Genomic DNA, 16827 nt, shown 5'->3' with positions numbered 1-16827 from the left:
ATGAGGGTGGCTGGTAGCACAGGATAGAGGCAGAGAAGAGAACCCACCAACAGGCAAGAAAAGCCACAGCCTCTGTGTCCTCAGAGTATCCCATGTAGTGCTGGAGTGTTCATGGGACCAAGGTCCTCTTGCCACCTCTCCTATTTTAGGGAGCGCTGGGAACCCCCAAATACCCTTCTGAAACCTCAAGGTGGTTTTCTCCCTGTGGAACTGGGTCTCCTCAGTCCCATTCTGGGTTTCTATTTATTCTTCCCCAGTGCTCAAGACTGAAGGCAGCTCAACAGCAGAAAGAAGTCAGTTGAAGAGAGATGCATTTTTGTCATTCTTGGCATGTGTCAAAGTAATGTTGGAAAAAGAAACCTGGTAAATTTTTAGAGTTGCTGAAAGGCATTGAGTGACTTCACTAAAGACATGTGTTGATATAAAAGAAATAAAAAAAGATGGTGTGCCGGAATCATGCTATACTCCTAAAGACATCAACCCCATGAGGGTGAGGGCTGGCGAGGGGAAACAAGGCAAGGGGGCTCAGGGAGCTGCCTTGCTCCCTGTTGAGGGGGTGGCTGTGTCCCCAGAGAGGCCACAGCGGTGGCCCACTGGCTTCTGTTCCTGCTCAGTGTCCCACTACAATTCAAGCTCCACACAATAATCAGAGTGATATATGGAGACATGAATTCATTAATGTCACTTCATTCTTCCAACCTTCCATGGACTCCCTCTGCTACTTAGAATAAAATCTAAACTCCTTACCATGGCAGACAAGACCTTAGATGGTCCAGCCCTGCAAGACGCTCCAATTCTTCTCCTTCTCTCCCTAATCCCCAGCTGCAATGTCCTTCTGTGTTCCTCAAGCACCTCCGTCTCCCTCCGGCTTGGGTGCCTTTGCAGCGGCTGGTCCCTCTGCCTGGAATGTTCTTCCTTGGCTGGTTATAGGAATGACTCCTTCCCTCAATCAAATTCCTTTTCCCATGGCTCCTGATCCAAAGGACGCCTCCCATCGACCCCCATCACGACCTATTCCTCATTCCCTTTTTCCGTAACACTGATCAAAATCAGATGCTTTCTAATTGTTCTTTGTTTATTCCTTAATTCTGACACCTCCCCCTAGAATGGAAGCTTCATGAGAATCAGGAGCTTGTCTGTGTGGCTCACAGCATGAAAGATGGGGCCTGAGATGGACCAATGCCCAATCAATCCTGAAAGAAGGCATCAATCAGTCAATAAAAAGGGGGCCTGATTTATTTATTCTATTTTTTGCAGGGAAGTAATTTCAAACTTGTAGAAAAATTACAACAATCGTACAAGGAACTCCCATAAACACTTTACCCTGATTCACCTATTGTCAATATTGTACTCATTTTTGTTAGCATTCTGTTTATCTATCTATATCATTTCTATCTCTATCTATTATCTCTCTCTATCATCTATCTATGCATTCATCCAACTATCCTATCTATCCATCTATCAATCATATCTACTCTATCTACCTACCTACCTACCTATCTGTCCACCACTCATCCATCCATCTATCTATACCATTTTTCCTGAACTGTTCTAGAGTAGGTAGCAAGCATCATTGCCCCTCACCCTTAAATACTTCAATGCTTATTTCCCAGGAATAAAGGAATTCCCTAACATGACCACAGCACACTCATCAATTCCAGTAAGTTTATCACTGATACAACTCTTTTATCTAAACTTCTGTCCATTTTCAAACTGTCAATTGACCCGATAATATGCACTAAAGCACTTCTCCCTCCAGTACAGGATCTGATTCAGGTGTGGTTAATTAGCTGTCCCACCTCCCTGGTCTCCTCTAATGTGGAGCTATTCCTCAGCCTTCCTGTCTTTCACAACTTCAGCATTTTGGAAGAACACAGTCCCTTGCTTCAATAGAATGTTCCTCATTGGGGGTTTTTCTGGTGCTTCCTCATAACTAGATTCAAGTCATGCCTTCCTTGCCAGAATACTGCAGAAAGGAAGGTGTATCACATGTGGAGGGCACCATGACCATCGGTCTCCTTGGTGATGTTAACTTTAACAAGGAAGTTTCAGTCAAGGTGCTGTCATATTTACCCACTGTACACTTATGAGAGGCATTTGAAGACCATGCAAATATCCTCATCAAAACTTTCCCATGGATTTTGCATCTACTGATGACTTTTATCAGACCAATCTTTACTGTGATAGTTACAAAATTATGAGTTTCCAACTCAGCACCTTCTCCACATTTAGCAGTTAATAGTCAGTGTTCTACTGAAAGCAAGAGCCCTCCTCCTTCCACATTTGCTTCTCCACTGCTTTATCTATTTATTATAAGTATGAAATCATGGATTCTTATTTCCCAAGATTTATATTTTATCTCCTCTCCTGAAATATACCATATTTGGCCAGTGAGAGCCCTTTCAAGATGGCTTCTGTATAAAAGAGGATAATTTTTAAGTACATTCATAAAATCCTGGTTGCTTCAAAGATGCCCTTTTTCCCCTTTAATGGGGAAATAAGCGTTTCTCCCACATCAGGGCCCTGGACAGCTGGGGGCCATTTAATTGGCTCAGCCACAGCTCTTCACTGTCCCTGACCACCTCCTCTGGGACAAAGAGAAACCAGCCCTGAGGAGTCTGAGCAGGTCCAGACCCACCGATTGGAGGCCCTCCTCAGCCCAGCCCTGCCCAGGGAAACCTCTGGCCAGGAGACAACAGCACCGCATCCCTGCAAGCAACTAAGATGGTTCCGTCCTAAGGCACGATTTTGTTTCAGAAGACGAGTGTGTCATCTGGTTAGCCCCAGACTCTTGCTGCAATAAACATGGTGTAAAATGGTCTGTGATGTGTGTTAAGGAGCCCTTCTGAGTTAAAATCATGTGTAGAGACTGCAGATGATTAAAACTAATTCCAACCAGCTCGAGGGGTGTCCAGTAACATGGCAGGCCTCCAACCTGGAACAAGCAAAATTTCACATACATCAGCTCACAGAGGGTCCCCACATGCTGCCAAGGTCAAAGCCTTGACCTTCAAATAGCACAGGTAAAAGGCTAGCACTCACTGTGTATTAAGTAGATGAGATGAAGCAAACAGCAAACTTGGAATCAAGGAACATGTTTTCAACCACAAACTAACTCACCTGAGTCACTTAGCTATGAAGGGGGAAAAATATTTCTGGGGCAGAAGATTCAGAAGGAGGGATCTTATCTGTTCCCAGAAGAATAAATCCACAATATATCTCACTGCCCTGCAAACTAGGCAACAAATTCAATAATACTGCATACAAAATAGCCTTCATAGCTTCATGATAGAATAAAACAATCAAACATTATAATGACCAAAGTAATGTGACAAACTTCTTTCTTGAGCATATGAAATGATTTATAAGTGCCCAAGGAATAGCTGAACTAAACTGGACTTGAGAGCATCTCGTTGTGTTTCCTATAGGAATAATGACCGGCTCTACTGATAGGAGGGAAGGTATGCTCATGTAATGAAGGAGTGCAAGAAATGGATTCAGATCAGTTAATATGAATAGAAAAAAGACTCTGTAAAGCCAATACATTCAGGTAAACAGGAAACCATTTCATTAGCATAAAAACAAGCTTTTTTCTTTTTTTATTATTATACTTTCGTTTTATTTCTAACCAGTAAAAAAAAAATCTTATTCCCATTTTCCCTATGAACTACTATACTACTTCACCTTTCTGTAGCAAAACTAAAAAGAGTTATCAATCTGCTTTGCTTCCAATCCTTCCCCTTCCATCCTCTTTTGGACCCATTACAATCAGAATTTTGTTCCTACCAGCACCACAACTCTTCCTGTCCATGTCACTAATGGCCTTGGAGTCGCCTGATGCATCCACAGCCTGCAACCCACTGCTCACTCCCGCCTCCCTGGTGCCCAACTTTCAGGCCACCTCTCCTGATCCTCCTCCCGCCTCGATGGCTGCTCCTCCGAGCCTCCTCTGCTGGCTCCTCGCAGAGCCTGGGCTGGGCTCTTAGTCCTCTCTCTGCTTACGCTTGCTCCTGTGGGGAATCCCCTCCACTTCATGGCTGTCAATATAAGCTTCTGTCTTCCTCCCAGTCCCCCCTTGGTATCTCCAGCCTTGACCTGCAGCCTGAACTCCAGATGCACACACTCTTATTATCATCCTACTCATGATCTCAACTGGGACACCCAGGACACATCTCAAAATGAGCACTTCCAACACAGGACACCCGGTCTCCCATGAAGCTCACTCCACCCGCCCCTCACCTTCTCCTACAACTGCTCAGGCCAGGAATTGCAGAGTCTTCTATTGCTCTTTCTCACCCACATCCACTCCTTCAGGGTGTTGTCACCAATTCAAACCATGTCCAGTCAATCCTGCAAGAAGGCAAACCATGTCCGGAATCAGATACCGCCTCACCCTGCCCCTGTTACTGCTCTGAACTGAGCCACCATTATTATAATACTCTCTGGAGTCTTTCACCTTCCACTCTTGCCCACTACATTTTATTATCAATCCAACATTCTGGTTGATCCTTTAACAATGTATGCCTGGTCACAGGAAGCAAGAGGCGGCTCTCCACTCCACAGTGAATGCAGAAGACCTCCACCAGCCCCCAAGACCCTAAGAGACCTGGTTCCCCACGACCTTTGACGTCCCTCCAACTCCTCTCCTCCTCCCTCATTCTGCTCCAGCCACACTGACCCTCTGTGCCATTCTCTGGACACACCAAGCGTGCTTCCATCCCTGGCCTTTGCTGCCCCTCTGCCTGGATGCTCTTCCTCAGAACTCTCCATGGCTCCCTCCCTCCCTCCTTCAGAGACTGCTCAAATGTCACCTCAACCTTGGCCTTAAAAAGCAAGCCCTCCAAACTCCCCCCAACTTGTCATCCCTCTCACCTTGTTCATTTTTTTTCTGTATCACTTTCGAGCATACTTTACATTTATTTGTGCATGTTTTTGTTTGTCTTCACCACCAGCCCCCACCACCCCAATGGAAACTCCATGCATGGAAGGACTTTTCCTTCTTTGTTCCTTGTCCTTATGTTCCAGAACACATAATGAGTGACACACAGTGGGTGTCCAATAAATATACATTGAATGAATGAACGCGCTTCTACATAATCTTGTGGAAATGGAGACAAAACAAGAAGGATGCACCCATGCATCAGACCATGAAAGTAGGGGAAACCAAGAAAGCCACAGGCGTCCTGAGGCTGGGAGCAGACAAGCTCACGTCAGTAACATCTAACAATGATATGACGACAAAGACCACATGCAAATGGAACAGACAGTCATCAGAGCAGAACCACATGTCCTGGAGCCAGCTCCACTTGAGGCAAAGATGTGGAGACCTTGTACAACCCTTGTCAGAAGGGTTGTAATGTGTGAAGTCTCATGCTGAGATTCCAGAGGGGGCTCTGGGTAGAGCACTCACTGCCACTTCTCTTGTTTATTCTGGCAAGAGTCTGTGAAGTTAACAAATCATTTGTTGCTCATATGTTCCATCCGTTGGCATCTCTACCTGAGGGCACTTTGCATGGGAAAATGAAAGAACGTTTTTTTATTGACAACCCAATGCCTTGACATTTGGGAACAAAGCAGTTGTGGCTGCCTGCTGCTCCGTCACTCTCCCTGCCCCGCCATGGAGTGAGGACACACGGGAGTCAACAGTGACCTTCTCAATAGCTGGACAAGCTCAACGCATTTCCAGTAATCTACCTCTCCAGTAATCACCAGAGAAAAGAGCTTTAGAAATTACCTTCCAGGTGTTTGAAACAGAACAGGATAAAATGATCCAATACTTGGTAGCTAAATATTAGTACGTTTTTTTAAATTAAAGAAATAAAAAAGTTAAATTAAATGTAGAGAACAGTAAACCTTCATAAAATGGGAAGGCCGCAACTCTTTCCCAGAGCAAAGTCTTCTGCTAATGAGTTTCTAAACAGGACCTAATTATTGGCAGGATCTACTTTTCCTGGATTTCCAAATAATCTATTTCTGTAAAACAAAGGAAACAAGCTTTGTTCTGTATTTTAAAAAGGACAACATACTTTAGGAGGCTGAGGCAGGAGGATCACTTGAGGCCAGGAGCTTGAGGGAAGCCTAGGCAACACAGTGAGACCTTGTCGCTACAAAAAATAAAAGTACAAACATTAGCTGGTGTGGTGGCATGTGTCTATAGTCCCAGCTACTCTGGAGACTGAAGCAGGAGAATCTCTTGAGCCTGGAAGGTCGAGGCTGCAGTGAGTTATGATTGCATCACTACACACCAGCCTGGGAGACCAAGGGAGACACTATCTCAAGAAAAAAAAAAAAAAAGAAAAGAAAAGAAAGAAAAAACTGAATGTGCTAGAAATTCTCCTTTTTACCCTGATCCAGCTCTACACACCCACTGCCCCTAGTTTGTGCCCCAGGAGGCCGGACCTGGCTCCTTTCCCCTCTGGCTTCCAGGTGGATTTGGCCAATGGCAGGAAGTTAAAGAGTGAAAGAAGAGAGTAGTCAGGATTGTTATTCTCGTAGTTCTCTCCCAGCCCATAGTCCCCATCAAGTCCCCAGCATCCACAGCTCGTCCCTGTCCTCCTTTGCTCCCTTGGGCAGAGGATGATGATGGCCCCTCACTGTTGGTCCTCTGGGTGCTTCACCATCTGCTCTTGGCTCCCTTGTCCTGCCCACATCTCGGTAATGGGGGCCCTTCATGAAGCACTACCCCCTTTGCATACCCCATCTGTTGCTTACAGGCCCTGGATGCCAAAGGAAGAATTCACGTGCCAGGCAGAACAACACACTCAGAGAGAAATACAGGTTCAACATCCCTAATCCTAAAATACAATACCCAAAATGCTCTAGAATCCAAAACTTTATAAGCACCAACATGAAGCACCAGTGGAAAATACCACACCTGACCTCATGTGACTGGTTGCAGTCAAAACGTTGTTTCGTGTATAAAGTTCTTTAAAATATTGTATAAAATTACCCTCAGACTATGTGTATAAAGTGTATATGAAACATAAATAAATTTCATGTTTAGATTTGGGTCCCCCTCCTCCAGATGTCTCCCTCTCTCTCTCTCTCTCTCTCTCTCTCTCTCTCTCTCTCTCTCTATATATATATATATATATGTATATATATATGTATGTATGTATACACACACACACACACACACATATATATATATGCATATTTGCAAATATTCCAAAATCCAAAAACAAAAAAACAAAAAAATCTCCAAATCCCAAATACTTCTGGTCTGAAGTACTTCAGACAAGGAACACTCAACCTGGACATCCTAGGGCCCTGGTAGCTGCCTCCTCTCCCATGAAGGTGGTCAGGAAGGAGCAGGGCACTGGAAGAAACCACCATCGCTTCTGAGAACAGGAGGGACTATTCATCCAATGCAGCACCCAAGGCTGTGGTCTGGATTCCCTTTCTTGTTGGTTTGTTTATTTTTTTGAGGCAGGGTCTCACGGTCGTCACCCAGGCTGGAGTGCAGTGATGCCATTACAGCACATTGCAGCCTTGAACTCCTGGGCTCAAGGGATCCTCCTGCCTCAGCCCCACCAGTAGCTGGGACTACAGGGATGCACCACCATACCCAGGTAATTATTATTAATATTATTATTATTATTATTATTTTGTAGTGCAGACAAGGTCTCACCATGTTTCCCAGGCTGGAACTTCTGGCCTCAAGTGATCCCCTTGTCTCAGCCTCCCAAAGTATTGGGGTTATAGGCGTGAGCCACTGTAGCCAGCCTGGGTTCCTTCTCTCTCCTAAGGAGGTGACCCCACTGACCGAAAAGCTACCTAAGGTATTTTAGGAGTGCAAGAGAATGACAAACATGAGTAAGAATGAGATAGTGTCATTAAAAAAAAAAAAAAAGGCTCTACCATCTACCGTCCATTCACCTTCCAAGCTGTCATAACAGCAGAGCTGTGGTTCTTGAATGTCAACTGCCAGGGTAACGATTGAAAAGTGAAGACATTGGATTTTTGTATTGTTAGTGAATATTTTGTAATAAAATTTGAGAGAAAAAAAGAAAAGAAAAGTGAAGATAGCAGGAGGATTAACTCGTTGAACAAAAGTCTGAGACATTTCTCAGGACGGCATGTGTCACAATATTAATCCAAATCTCAGATTGTGTTAAACTCTTTGGGAAAAATAAGATAATTGACTTAGCCCAATTTCCAGCCATATAATTGGTATTCTATAGACATAGCCTAAGGAAACGTCATTAATGAAGCAACAACTTGATTGCCTTTGATTATACGGATGGGTAAAAATGTCAAACCCTCATGGCGCAAAGTCAGAAGAAGCAGTGAGAAGCGTGGCTGAGGCCAAAGAGCACAGTGAACCCCAAGGCCAGGACAACCCTGGGGGACATGGGACTGTGACACCACTTAGTGCCAACCTGAGAAAGATACGTTCTTAAAAGCAGAACTTCCCACTCATCTGTTAGAGCAGTGAAAATGTCTTGTGATAAATGCCACAGGATGTATAATTTAGACACGATAGTATCTGTGTAACCCAATCTCACTGCAGTTAAAAATATTCAAATCAAAAATGGTTGCAAACCAATCCAGTGAAGTTTTAGCACCAAGGAAGGCAGGATTCTGGCTAATTTTCCCTTCTCTAATGAGGGGAAGGGACAGTCAAACTTGCCCCCCAACATCCACTTGTGACTTCTCATCCGCCACAGTGAACAGCCAGGAGATTTCACATGACTGAAACAGGAAGAATTATTTAATGGCTTGGGAAGAGCATTTTTCATTTGGAAGTGTTCCTAGGCCACATCATGGCAGCAACCAAGCTTGTTCAGTCATCACCAGCAGCGTTTTCTGGGCTCTCATCCTGCGCCGGGCACTGTGATGAGAGCTCCCTGTGTGTGATCTCATGTACCAATCAACGACCTTGCAAGGCAGGTATTCTTCTTATCTATGACAGACTAGAAAGCAAATATTCTTAATTTAGCAGACTTTTTTGAAATGCTAATGATGCTGCTGATGATAATAACATCAATTAAATGGTTTGCAGAGCTATCAAAAAAACTTTTTTAAACTGAGTAATGGAAAGGAACAATTTTCCAGCTAAAGCTTATTCTTCTGCCATCTCAGCAAATGAAGTTCCAGCTTTCACTTTTCCTCATGGGTCAGTGTGGCTTCCAGCACTTCTCTGATAGAAGGTTCCATAAAATGTATAAATAGTAGCTAAAGTCCCCCTTAGGTCTTGGCCTCCCATATTAACTGCCTGGTGAACCCACTGGATGTGGGGTTCACAGGGGGAAAACTGACAGTGAGGACTTCCCTGCAGCAGGCTAGGGATGTGTGCTGGGGGGACAGCTGTCTGGATATGAAGGTCTAGTCCTGTTTGCTCCACAAGGCCTTATTCCATTGGTTCTTGAGGTACCCTTATATTTTAAAATATCTTAAATATAAAAGAAATGATCAACCTTGCCAGAAACACCCACTATAGTTGAAACCTGTGTGTCCTAGGATAAATCTGGAACATTTTCAGGCTGGGTCATCCAAAAGCTTATGTGGCATGGACCTGCTCACACTCTAACCTCCGCTAGTCCATGCATAAATTTTGCTCCAGGTCATTCTGCTTATAATTACAAAGCTCTATTCTCAATGCTCTAATAGCTTGAAGAATAAAGAAGGTTATATTTCTTCTTCTTTTTTTTTTTTTTTTTTTTTGAGACGGAGTCTCGCTCTGTCGCCCAGGCTGGAGTGCAGTGGCGCGATCTCGGCTCACTGCAACCTCCGCCTCCCGGGTTCACGCCATTCTCCTGCCTCAGCCTCCCGAGTAGCTGGGACTACAGGCGCCCGCTACCACGCCCGGCTAATTTTTTGTATTTTTAGTAGAGACGGGGTTTCACCGTGTTAGCCAGGATGGTCTCGATCTCCTGACCTCGTGATCCGCCCGCCTCGGCCTCCCAAAGTGCTGGAATTACAGGCGTGAGCCACCGCGCCCGGCCTATATTTCTTCTTAAAGGAAAATTTCTTCATCCAAAATGGGTTCCTTCCAGCCCCACTGTCTTTATGTCTACCGTCTTTTTGCCAGCTCCAGCTGATAAGAAGAGTTCATCCTTACAAGCTCAGAGAAGGGCTTAACCACAGGCCCTGGGTTTGCTGCATTCCAGGAGCTTGTGGCTGTGAGCCAAGGTCTGGTGTGCAAATTGCATCTCCTGTGTGTGCAGAGTGAACATGAGGGAGCACTATGTGTTTAAGACCAGTGCTCGATAATTACAAGATAGACTGTTATAACCTAACTAAATTTCACAGAACAAGTAGATGCAGGCTAGAGGGAAATCCCAAGCCTTTGAAAGTCAAAAATACCCACACAGGAAAGAAAAAGGTGAGTTTGGAAATTCTGTTAGGACCATGTCAGCTTAAATGGGCTCTTATGTCCAAAATTGGGACAATTTGAAAACCAAAAAGAACAATGAAGGTAATGGATTAAAAACGGATGTAAGGAAAGAAGGAAGGAAGGAAGGAAGGAAGGAAGGAAGGAAGGAAGGAAGGAAGGAAGGAAGGGAAGGAAGGAAGGAAAGAAGGCTCAATCCATGAATCCATAATGATACTAAAAGGGGAGGGGTATATTTAGAGAGGAATACCAGCTAACGTAGAAGAAATGATTGAATAGGAAAATCACCATTTTGCACACCCTGCTATAATAAAGATCTAGGAGAGGATGATCCAAGGATACTAAAGCCACAGAGGGAAAGGTTGTTGAGAAGCAGGAGCACCTTACATAGACAAAGCATCAACCTGGTGGACACTTCATAACCAAGCAGTCAGAGTTAACAAATATGAGAGATATTGACATCGTGTGGCTCCTGAAGTGATGCACTGGGAAGGGCACCGCACCCCTGATGTCAAAGATGTTCATCCTGCATCTAATCAGAGAGAGGTAATCCGTTAATCAGACAAGTTCAGAGCATGGGGCATTCTGCAAGTCAACAGGCCTGGATGCATCCAAATGTCAGTGGCTGGAAGAAAAAGAAAATGGCAGGAGATTTTCTAAAATGCAATGTGGGAACCTTGGCTAGATTCTAGATTTAAAAAATAAAACTATAGAAGACTTTTGGAGATGATTTGGAGAAATAAGAATATAGGAATATATTAGACATTATTGACATTAATTTGACCAGAAAATGGAACTGTATTTATTCAACGTCTTGGAAGGTAACTATACAAAACTTTACAGCATCTTCTATCCACTCTCCCTTAACATATGGTTTTAATTATTTTAAGCCCATTTAAATGTAACAAGTGTCTTAGAGACCTAAGACATAAGATAATCTTAAGATGATTTGTATTGATTTCTGGATGATCTAACAGTCTAGAGATAGAAGTGGCTTTTAATGTTCTAAGATTTTCCAAGATTGAAGTTACGTAGCATGAGCTTCTCTAAGTTTCCTTTCCTTTCCTTCACATGTTTTCACTGTCTTCACCGATTCATGTTTTTCCTCTGCCTGTTGCCTCCTTAGTGCTAAGTGCAGTGCTCAGCCCATGCCAGGGACTTGGGAAACGCTTAGTCCATAATGAGTAATCGCTGTGTTCGCTCCATCACTCAAGTGCTTAATGTGACAAAAACCTTACTTGTATTGTTTTTAAACTTCTTAAGGTTACTGCTCCAATGTCTTGAGTGTGATAATGACACTGTGGTTATGAGCAGGAATATAATGGCTTTGTTTCTAGATCAGGCTGAAGTATTTAGAGCCAAAGAGTCATGATGTCTTTCTGCAGCTTACTGTCAAACGCTTTCACACAAAAAAGTAAATTATATATATAAATACATATATATATACACACACACAGTGAGCCCTCTATATCTGTGGATTCCAAATTCACCGTGGATACAGAGGACTAACTGCATATAGACACAATACATGCATATGTATGTATGTATACATATATATCCACATATTCAATACATATATATGTGTGTGTACATGTACACACATTCTGTATACAGTCAGTCTTCTACATTCATGAATTCCACATCCACAGAGTCAACCAACTTCAGATTGAAAATATCTTAAAAATTGCATCTGTACTGAACATGTACAGACTGTTTTCTCGTAATTATTCCCTAAACAATACAGTAAAACAACTACTTACATAGCATTTACATTGCAATAGGTATTACAATTAATCTGGAGATGACTTAAAGCATATGGGAGGATCATATCAGGGATTTGGGCACCCACCCTCGGATTTTGGCAACTGTGAGGGGTCCTGGAACAAATCCCCTGAAGATACCGAGCGACAACTGAATAGTAATAAAATATGTGTAACGTAATGTAACATGCATGTGTGTGTCCATAATGCATAACAGAGAGAGAGAGACCAAGCAGATGTGATAAAGCCCCTGCATAGGATGTGGACATAAAGCCAGACATGAACTGTGTCCATGAGGTCAGCACACTCCAAGCAGAATGACCATCCCATGAACAAAGCTAGGGACAACATCTGTCCCAGAAAAATGAGCAGATGCCCAAACCCAAGAGCTCCAGAATAGCAATTCAGCATCAATCTCTTAAATGAGGTGGAAATAATCTTTTAAGTTCCACTCAGGCATCCCCTCATGTTAATTTCATAACTCGACCTTTATGATGTTAGGAAATTACCATCTTTTGAGTGAAACAAAAACACATGCACACCACTTCTCCAAATGACAAAGCCTGGACCGTCGGCGCCCGACAGAAAACAAAGCCACAAAACAGCTACAGAGCAGGACAAGGGACATTGGCGCGTCTTCAGCTCAGCTTTTATTTAAACACACTGGGCTCCAGGCACAGCCTTGACCTGCCAACAGATTCAAGCAAACGTAATTAGAGGTGAGCAAGCTGTATGGATCCAGCTTTCCCCATCCATGCTGCAGCTGCTGAGAAGTAGAGCAGGTCTAGAAGAGCTGCCCTAGGAGTTTTAGGAGGAAGCTCTGCGACCTCCCCATGCTTGGCAGGGAGCCACCACCCTTTGACAAACCCAGTGCACTGATTCCTTAGGTATGCGTCCCATGACCCCATGGTCAAATGGGCACAGGCCAGCTGGGGTACACATGTACAGGTGTACCAGCTGTTAAAATACCAAGATGCTCTGTACCAGCTGGTAAATAACTGCCCTCCAAATGCCTCCAGTGCCCACTCCTGTGCTTTCCTGCTGCCTCCTCCACCAGGACCCCTCAACACCGCCTCCCCCATGGCCCATTAACTCCAAGAGCTAAAATCTCACTGCATCCAACCTAGGGCCAGGTACTCTGTCACTGTTGAGTATTTTAAACAGCACTCTGCCTCCTAGACTCTGGTGCTTCCAGGGCAAGGAGTCTATTTTATTAATTTCTGCATCTCTAGCATGTCTTGAAGCCACACCCGCAGAAGTATCAGTTCAATGCATCCACCAAGGACCCAAGAGGAGCTTGCCATGAGGCAGGGCTGACTGTGAGTGAGGAAGAGTGAGCAGCGGCGAGTTGCTGTGGTAGGTATCACACCACTGCATTTGAGCCACATCTGAGTTTCAGGTGCAGAGCCTATGAATCGCAATAGGTCTGAGGCACTGATTTATGTATAAGGCAGTTCTGCTGGAAAATGCTTACTTGAGATACACTTTTTAAGTAATAAACACACATGCATATTTACGGAGCAAAAATTAAGCCCAGCCAGCCCCTACCAGTGTCCTGCTCATGGGACAGTAGAGTCCATGGTTCCTTTAGATTCACTTTGATCTTCTATTTCTACTTCCCTAAAGGAAACAGAGCCTCACCCTGGCAAACCAATTGTAAAGTTTAGAGCAGGAAGAGGCAAAGAACAGCAGTGCAGTGAACTCACTGGCAGGCAAAAAGAAGCAGAGGCTCTAAAACATGGCACAAAGGAGCTCTCACATCACCAAGACCAGGATCCTTCTCGAACTTTCTTCTGAGGTCTGGAAAATGCTGGTAACAAGGGGAAGAACTGTGTGGAAGTAAAGATGCTATCTCAAAAGGAGAAAAAAAAGCATCATTTAGACCGAGGCAGCCATTCAGCATGGAACAAGACAGAATATTTATCTCCCCTCGCAGGCAGGCTGTAACCCTGCAAGTGACAGGACAGCAGTTCTGGGGACATGACTGCCCCACCCCCATCAGCCTCTCTTCCAGCCCTGAAGAGCATCCCACGTGTCCTTGTGCTGTCTTTTCCCACTAAAACTAAGTGTCTCAGGTGCACAGCAGTATTCCCTCCCCACACCTACCCTTCTACCTGTGGGACAAGCAAGAGACTAGGACTGGAGATTGCAAGGGGGCCTCTTTGTGGCAAAGGAGTACATGTGGTGTCTCCCACTCTTGATTTCATATCTGGTAATAAGAGCAGCTAAGTCTCAGGAAATCAGCATGAGGAGAGCTAACTCGGCTTTTCTGGAAGAGTCGTGAACATCAGTACTAGGGATGAGGAGGTAGCACAGCCTCCCCAGGCAGAGATGCCAGTGTTTCCCCCTGGCTCTGGTCTTTCTTGGGTCTTGTCTCTCAGCCTCCTCATCATGGCTAATTACTTCTTCCCTAGGTCTACCATCGCCCACCTACAAAAGGATGCAAGTAAATGTCTTGGCTTTCAATCCCACTGAACAGACACTGAGAGTAATGTATTTGGGAGGTGAAGATAGAGGAAGAAGGAATAGAGAGAGGGGGAAAGGCTGCCCATAAAGCTTGTGTTATCCAGCAGGTTATGGCTGTGGGCAAGTGGAGCATAATCCTACTGGGCAACTCTAGGAGACAGTGCAGACTCGTGCCTCAGAGTCAGCCCCCTGTAGGGATGAGGGAGCTGGGGTATTTGTACACCACCTCCCATCAGCCATTGGTTGAGGGCTGCTCCAGAGGTCGTTAATTCTCTGACATTTCCAGCCTGCCATGCACAAAGCAGTGTGGACTCTGGCCTCCAAAGAAAGCCTTTGGGCAAAGGAATGCAGGTGTGAGCAGGCAGAATGTGGCCAGTGTGCACCAATGTGGTAAGAGCAAGGAACCATGGGCAGGCACAGTGGTGTCTGCTTCCTGAAAGACCCAGAGAATGCAGCTATTACTATACCAGCTGTGATGCCCGAGGGCACCTTTATGTAAAAGGCTTACACTCCTCAGGAGAGAGGTGTCCTGTAAACACAAGGCATGCTTATCCACCCAGACAAGCAATTCTATTTCCCTGGCAAGAAGGGGTGAGCTGGTGAAGGGGAGAACAAAAGAGAACCCTCCCCAAAGATGAGTGTACCTGTCTACAGCAACTCAAAGGAGGAACAGATCTTCCTCATAAGCTTTCTAAACAGGTGTCCTGGGGCGGGGGATGGGAAGCTGTTTTACCCTTTGGGGTCACAGGAGTGAGGGGTGGCCTGAGAAGGCATGGCCCATGGGCCTGGCTGTGGCTGCTTTGTCCTGAAGTGATCTTTTTCCTTTTGCCTCTTTTCTGTGAATGCAGCAGGTCACAGGGGAGTCATCTTGCAGAGCAGAGTGGAAATGAAAGTAACACTTGGCAATTGAGGAGAAACAGAAATGAGATGATTCTAAGACCTCGAATGCATGTGTCTGCCCAGTCACCGGTAGCTCACTTAGAAATCAAGGAGACTCAATTTTTGCTTTCCTTGCAATTGCTTTTGGCATTTTTGTCATGAAATCTTTGCCCATGCCTATGTCCTAAATGGTACTGCCTGGGTTTTCTTCTAGGGTTTTTATAGTTTTGGGTTTTGCATTTAAGTTTTTAATCCATCTGGAATTGATTTTTGTACATGGTGTAAGGAAGGAGTCCAGTTTTTAATTTTCTGTATACAGCTAGCCAGTTCTCTCAGCACCATTTATTAAATAGGGAATCCTTTCCCCATTGCTTGTTTTTGTCAGGTTTGTCAAAGGTCAGATGGTTGTAGGTGTATGGCCTTTTGTCAGAGGGGTGGGAGGAGGGAGAGCGCCAGGAAGAATAGCTAATGGATGTTGGGCTTAATACTTGGGTGATGGGATGATCTTTGCAGCAAACCACAATGGCACACATTTACCTATGTCACAAACCTGCACATCCTGCACATGTACCCCTGAACTTAAAATAAAAGTAGGAAATTTTTAAAAAAAGAAATCAAGAGATTCTATTTTTAAAAATTTTGCAAAGAGAGTTAATTGGGAACACTTAAAGAAGTCTGCCTCCTCAGCAAAGACCTTGAGATCATTCTCATTGTCTCCTCAGCAAAGTCCATTTCAGGTCAGGTGACCTCTCCCCAGCCCCTAGGGCCAACCTGGCCTGGACTCTGTGCTCCTGCCCAGGGGGAGTCGGCACGACTTGGTGTCTGGCTGATTTATGGCTCCCATTGTCTTCACTGAATCCCAGAATTTTTGAAAATGCTAGACATTTTCAAGATTGGATTTTTTTATTTGACTGATTTATGAGCCATAGCTCAGATTAAACAGGGAAACCCTGTCCTGTCAAAGGGACCATCGTACTTGCTCCCCCGGAGGTGGAGCAAACCCTGATGGTTTTCAGCCTACACCCTGACCCAGTGGCTGCAGGACACGCTGCCTTCCTTGGCCTTTTATGTAAACCCTGGTAAGCCTTTATTTCACCCTTCTCACTCCAGCTCTACAGAAGCACCAAGAGGTAGGAACTGTGCAGCCTTGTCTTTGCTCAAACCCCCACTTAACTAGAGCTTCCTTAGTACAGGTGGTCCCAGATTTTTGATGGTTCATCTTGGGATTTCTCCACTTTGTGACGGTAGAAAGTGATGCACATTCAGTAGAAAGTGTACTTCAGATTTTAAATTTTGATCTTTTCCTGAGCTAGCAATATGTGGTTCAATAGGCTTTGGTGATGCTGGGCAGCTGCGGTGAGCTGCCGCCCCCAGCCATGCTATTAC

The 16827-nt window shown here is 44.6% G+C and overlaps 1 protein-coding gene across 1 annotated transcript in view, besides 1 other annotated feature; it reads right to left on the bottom strand.

Annotated features, from left to right (window-relative positions):
* The window catches only part of SLC24A3 (solute carrier family 24 member 3), a 510285-nt gene that overhangs the window by 390055 nt on the left and 103403 nt on the right, over positions 1–16827 (bottom strand). The gene's annotated exons all lie outside the window — the stretch shown is intronic.
* Positions 5169–5258: an enhancer, noted in NCBI's record as "active region_17598". NCBI's record gives its function as "activates an Ori minimal core promoter by ATAC-STARR-seq in GM12878 lymphoblastoid cells {active_cell/tissue: GM12878}" and the evidence as "EXISTENCE:reporter gene assay evidence [ECO:0000049][PMID:35858748]".

Source organism: Homo sapiens, chromosome 20 (assembly GCF_000001405.40).
Source record: "Homo sapiens chromosome 20, GRCh38.p14 Primary Assembly".
NCBI lineage: Eukaryota > Metazoa > Chordata > Mammalia > Primates > Hominidae > Homo > Homo sapiens.
Note: the sequence above shows the minus strand (reverse complement) of the source record. Positions and strands in the feature narration are given on the sequence as shown.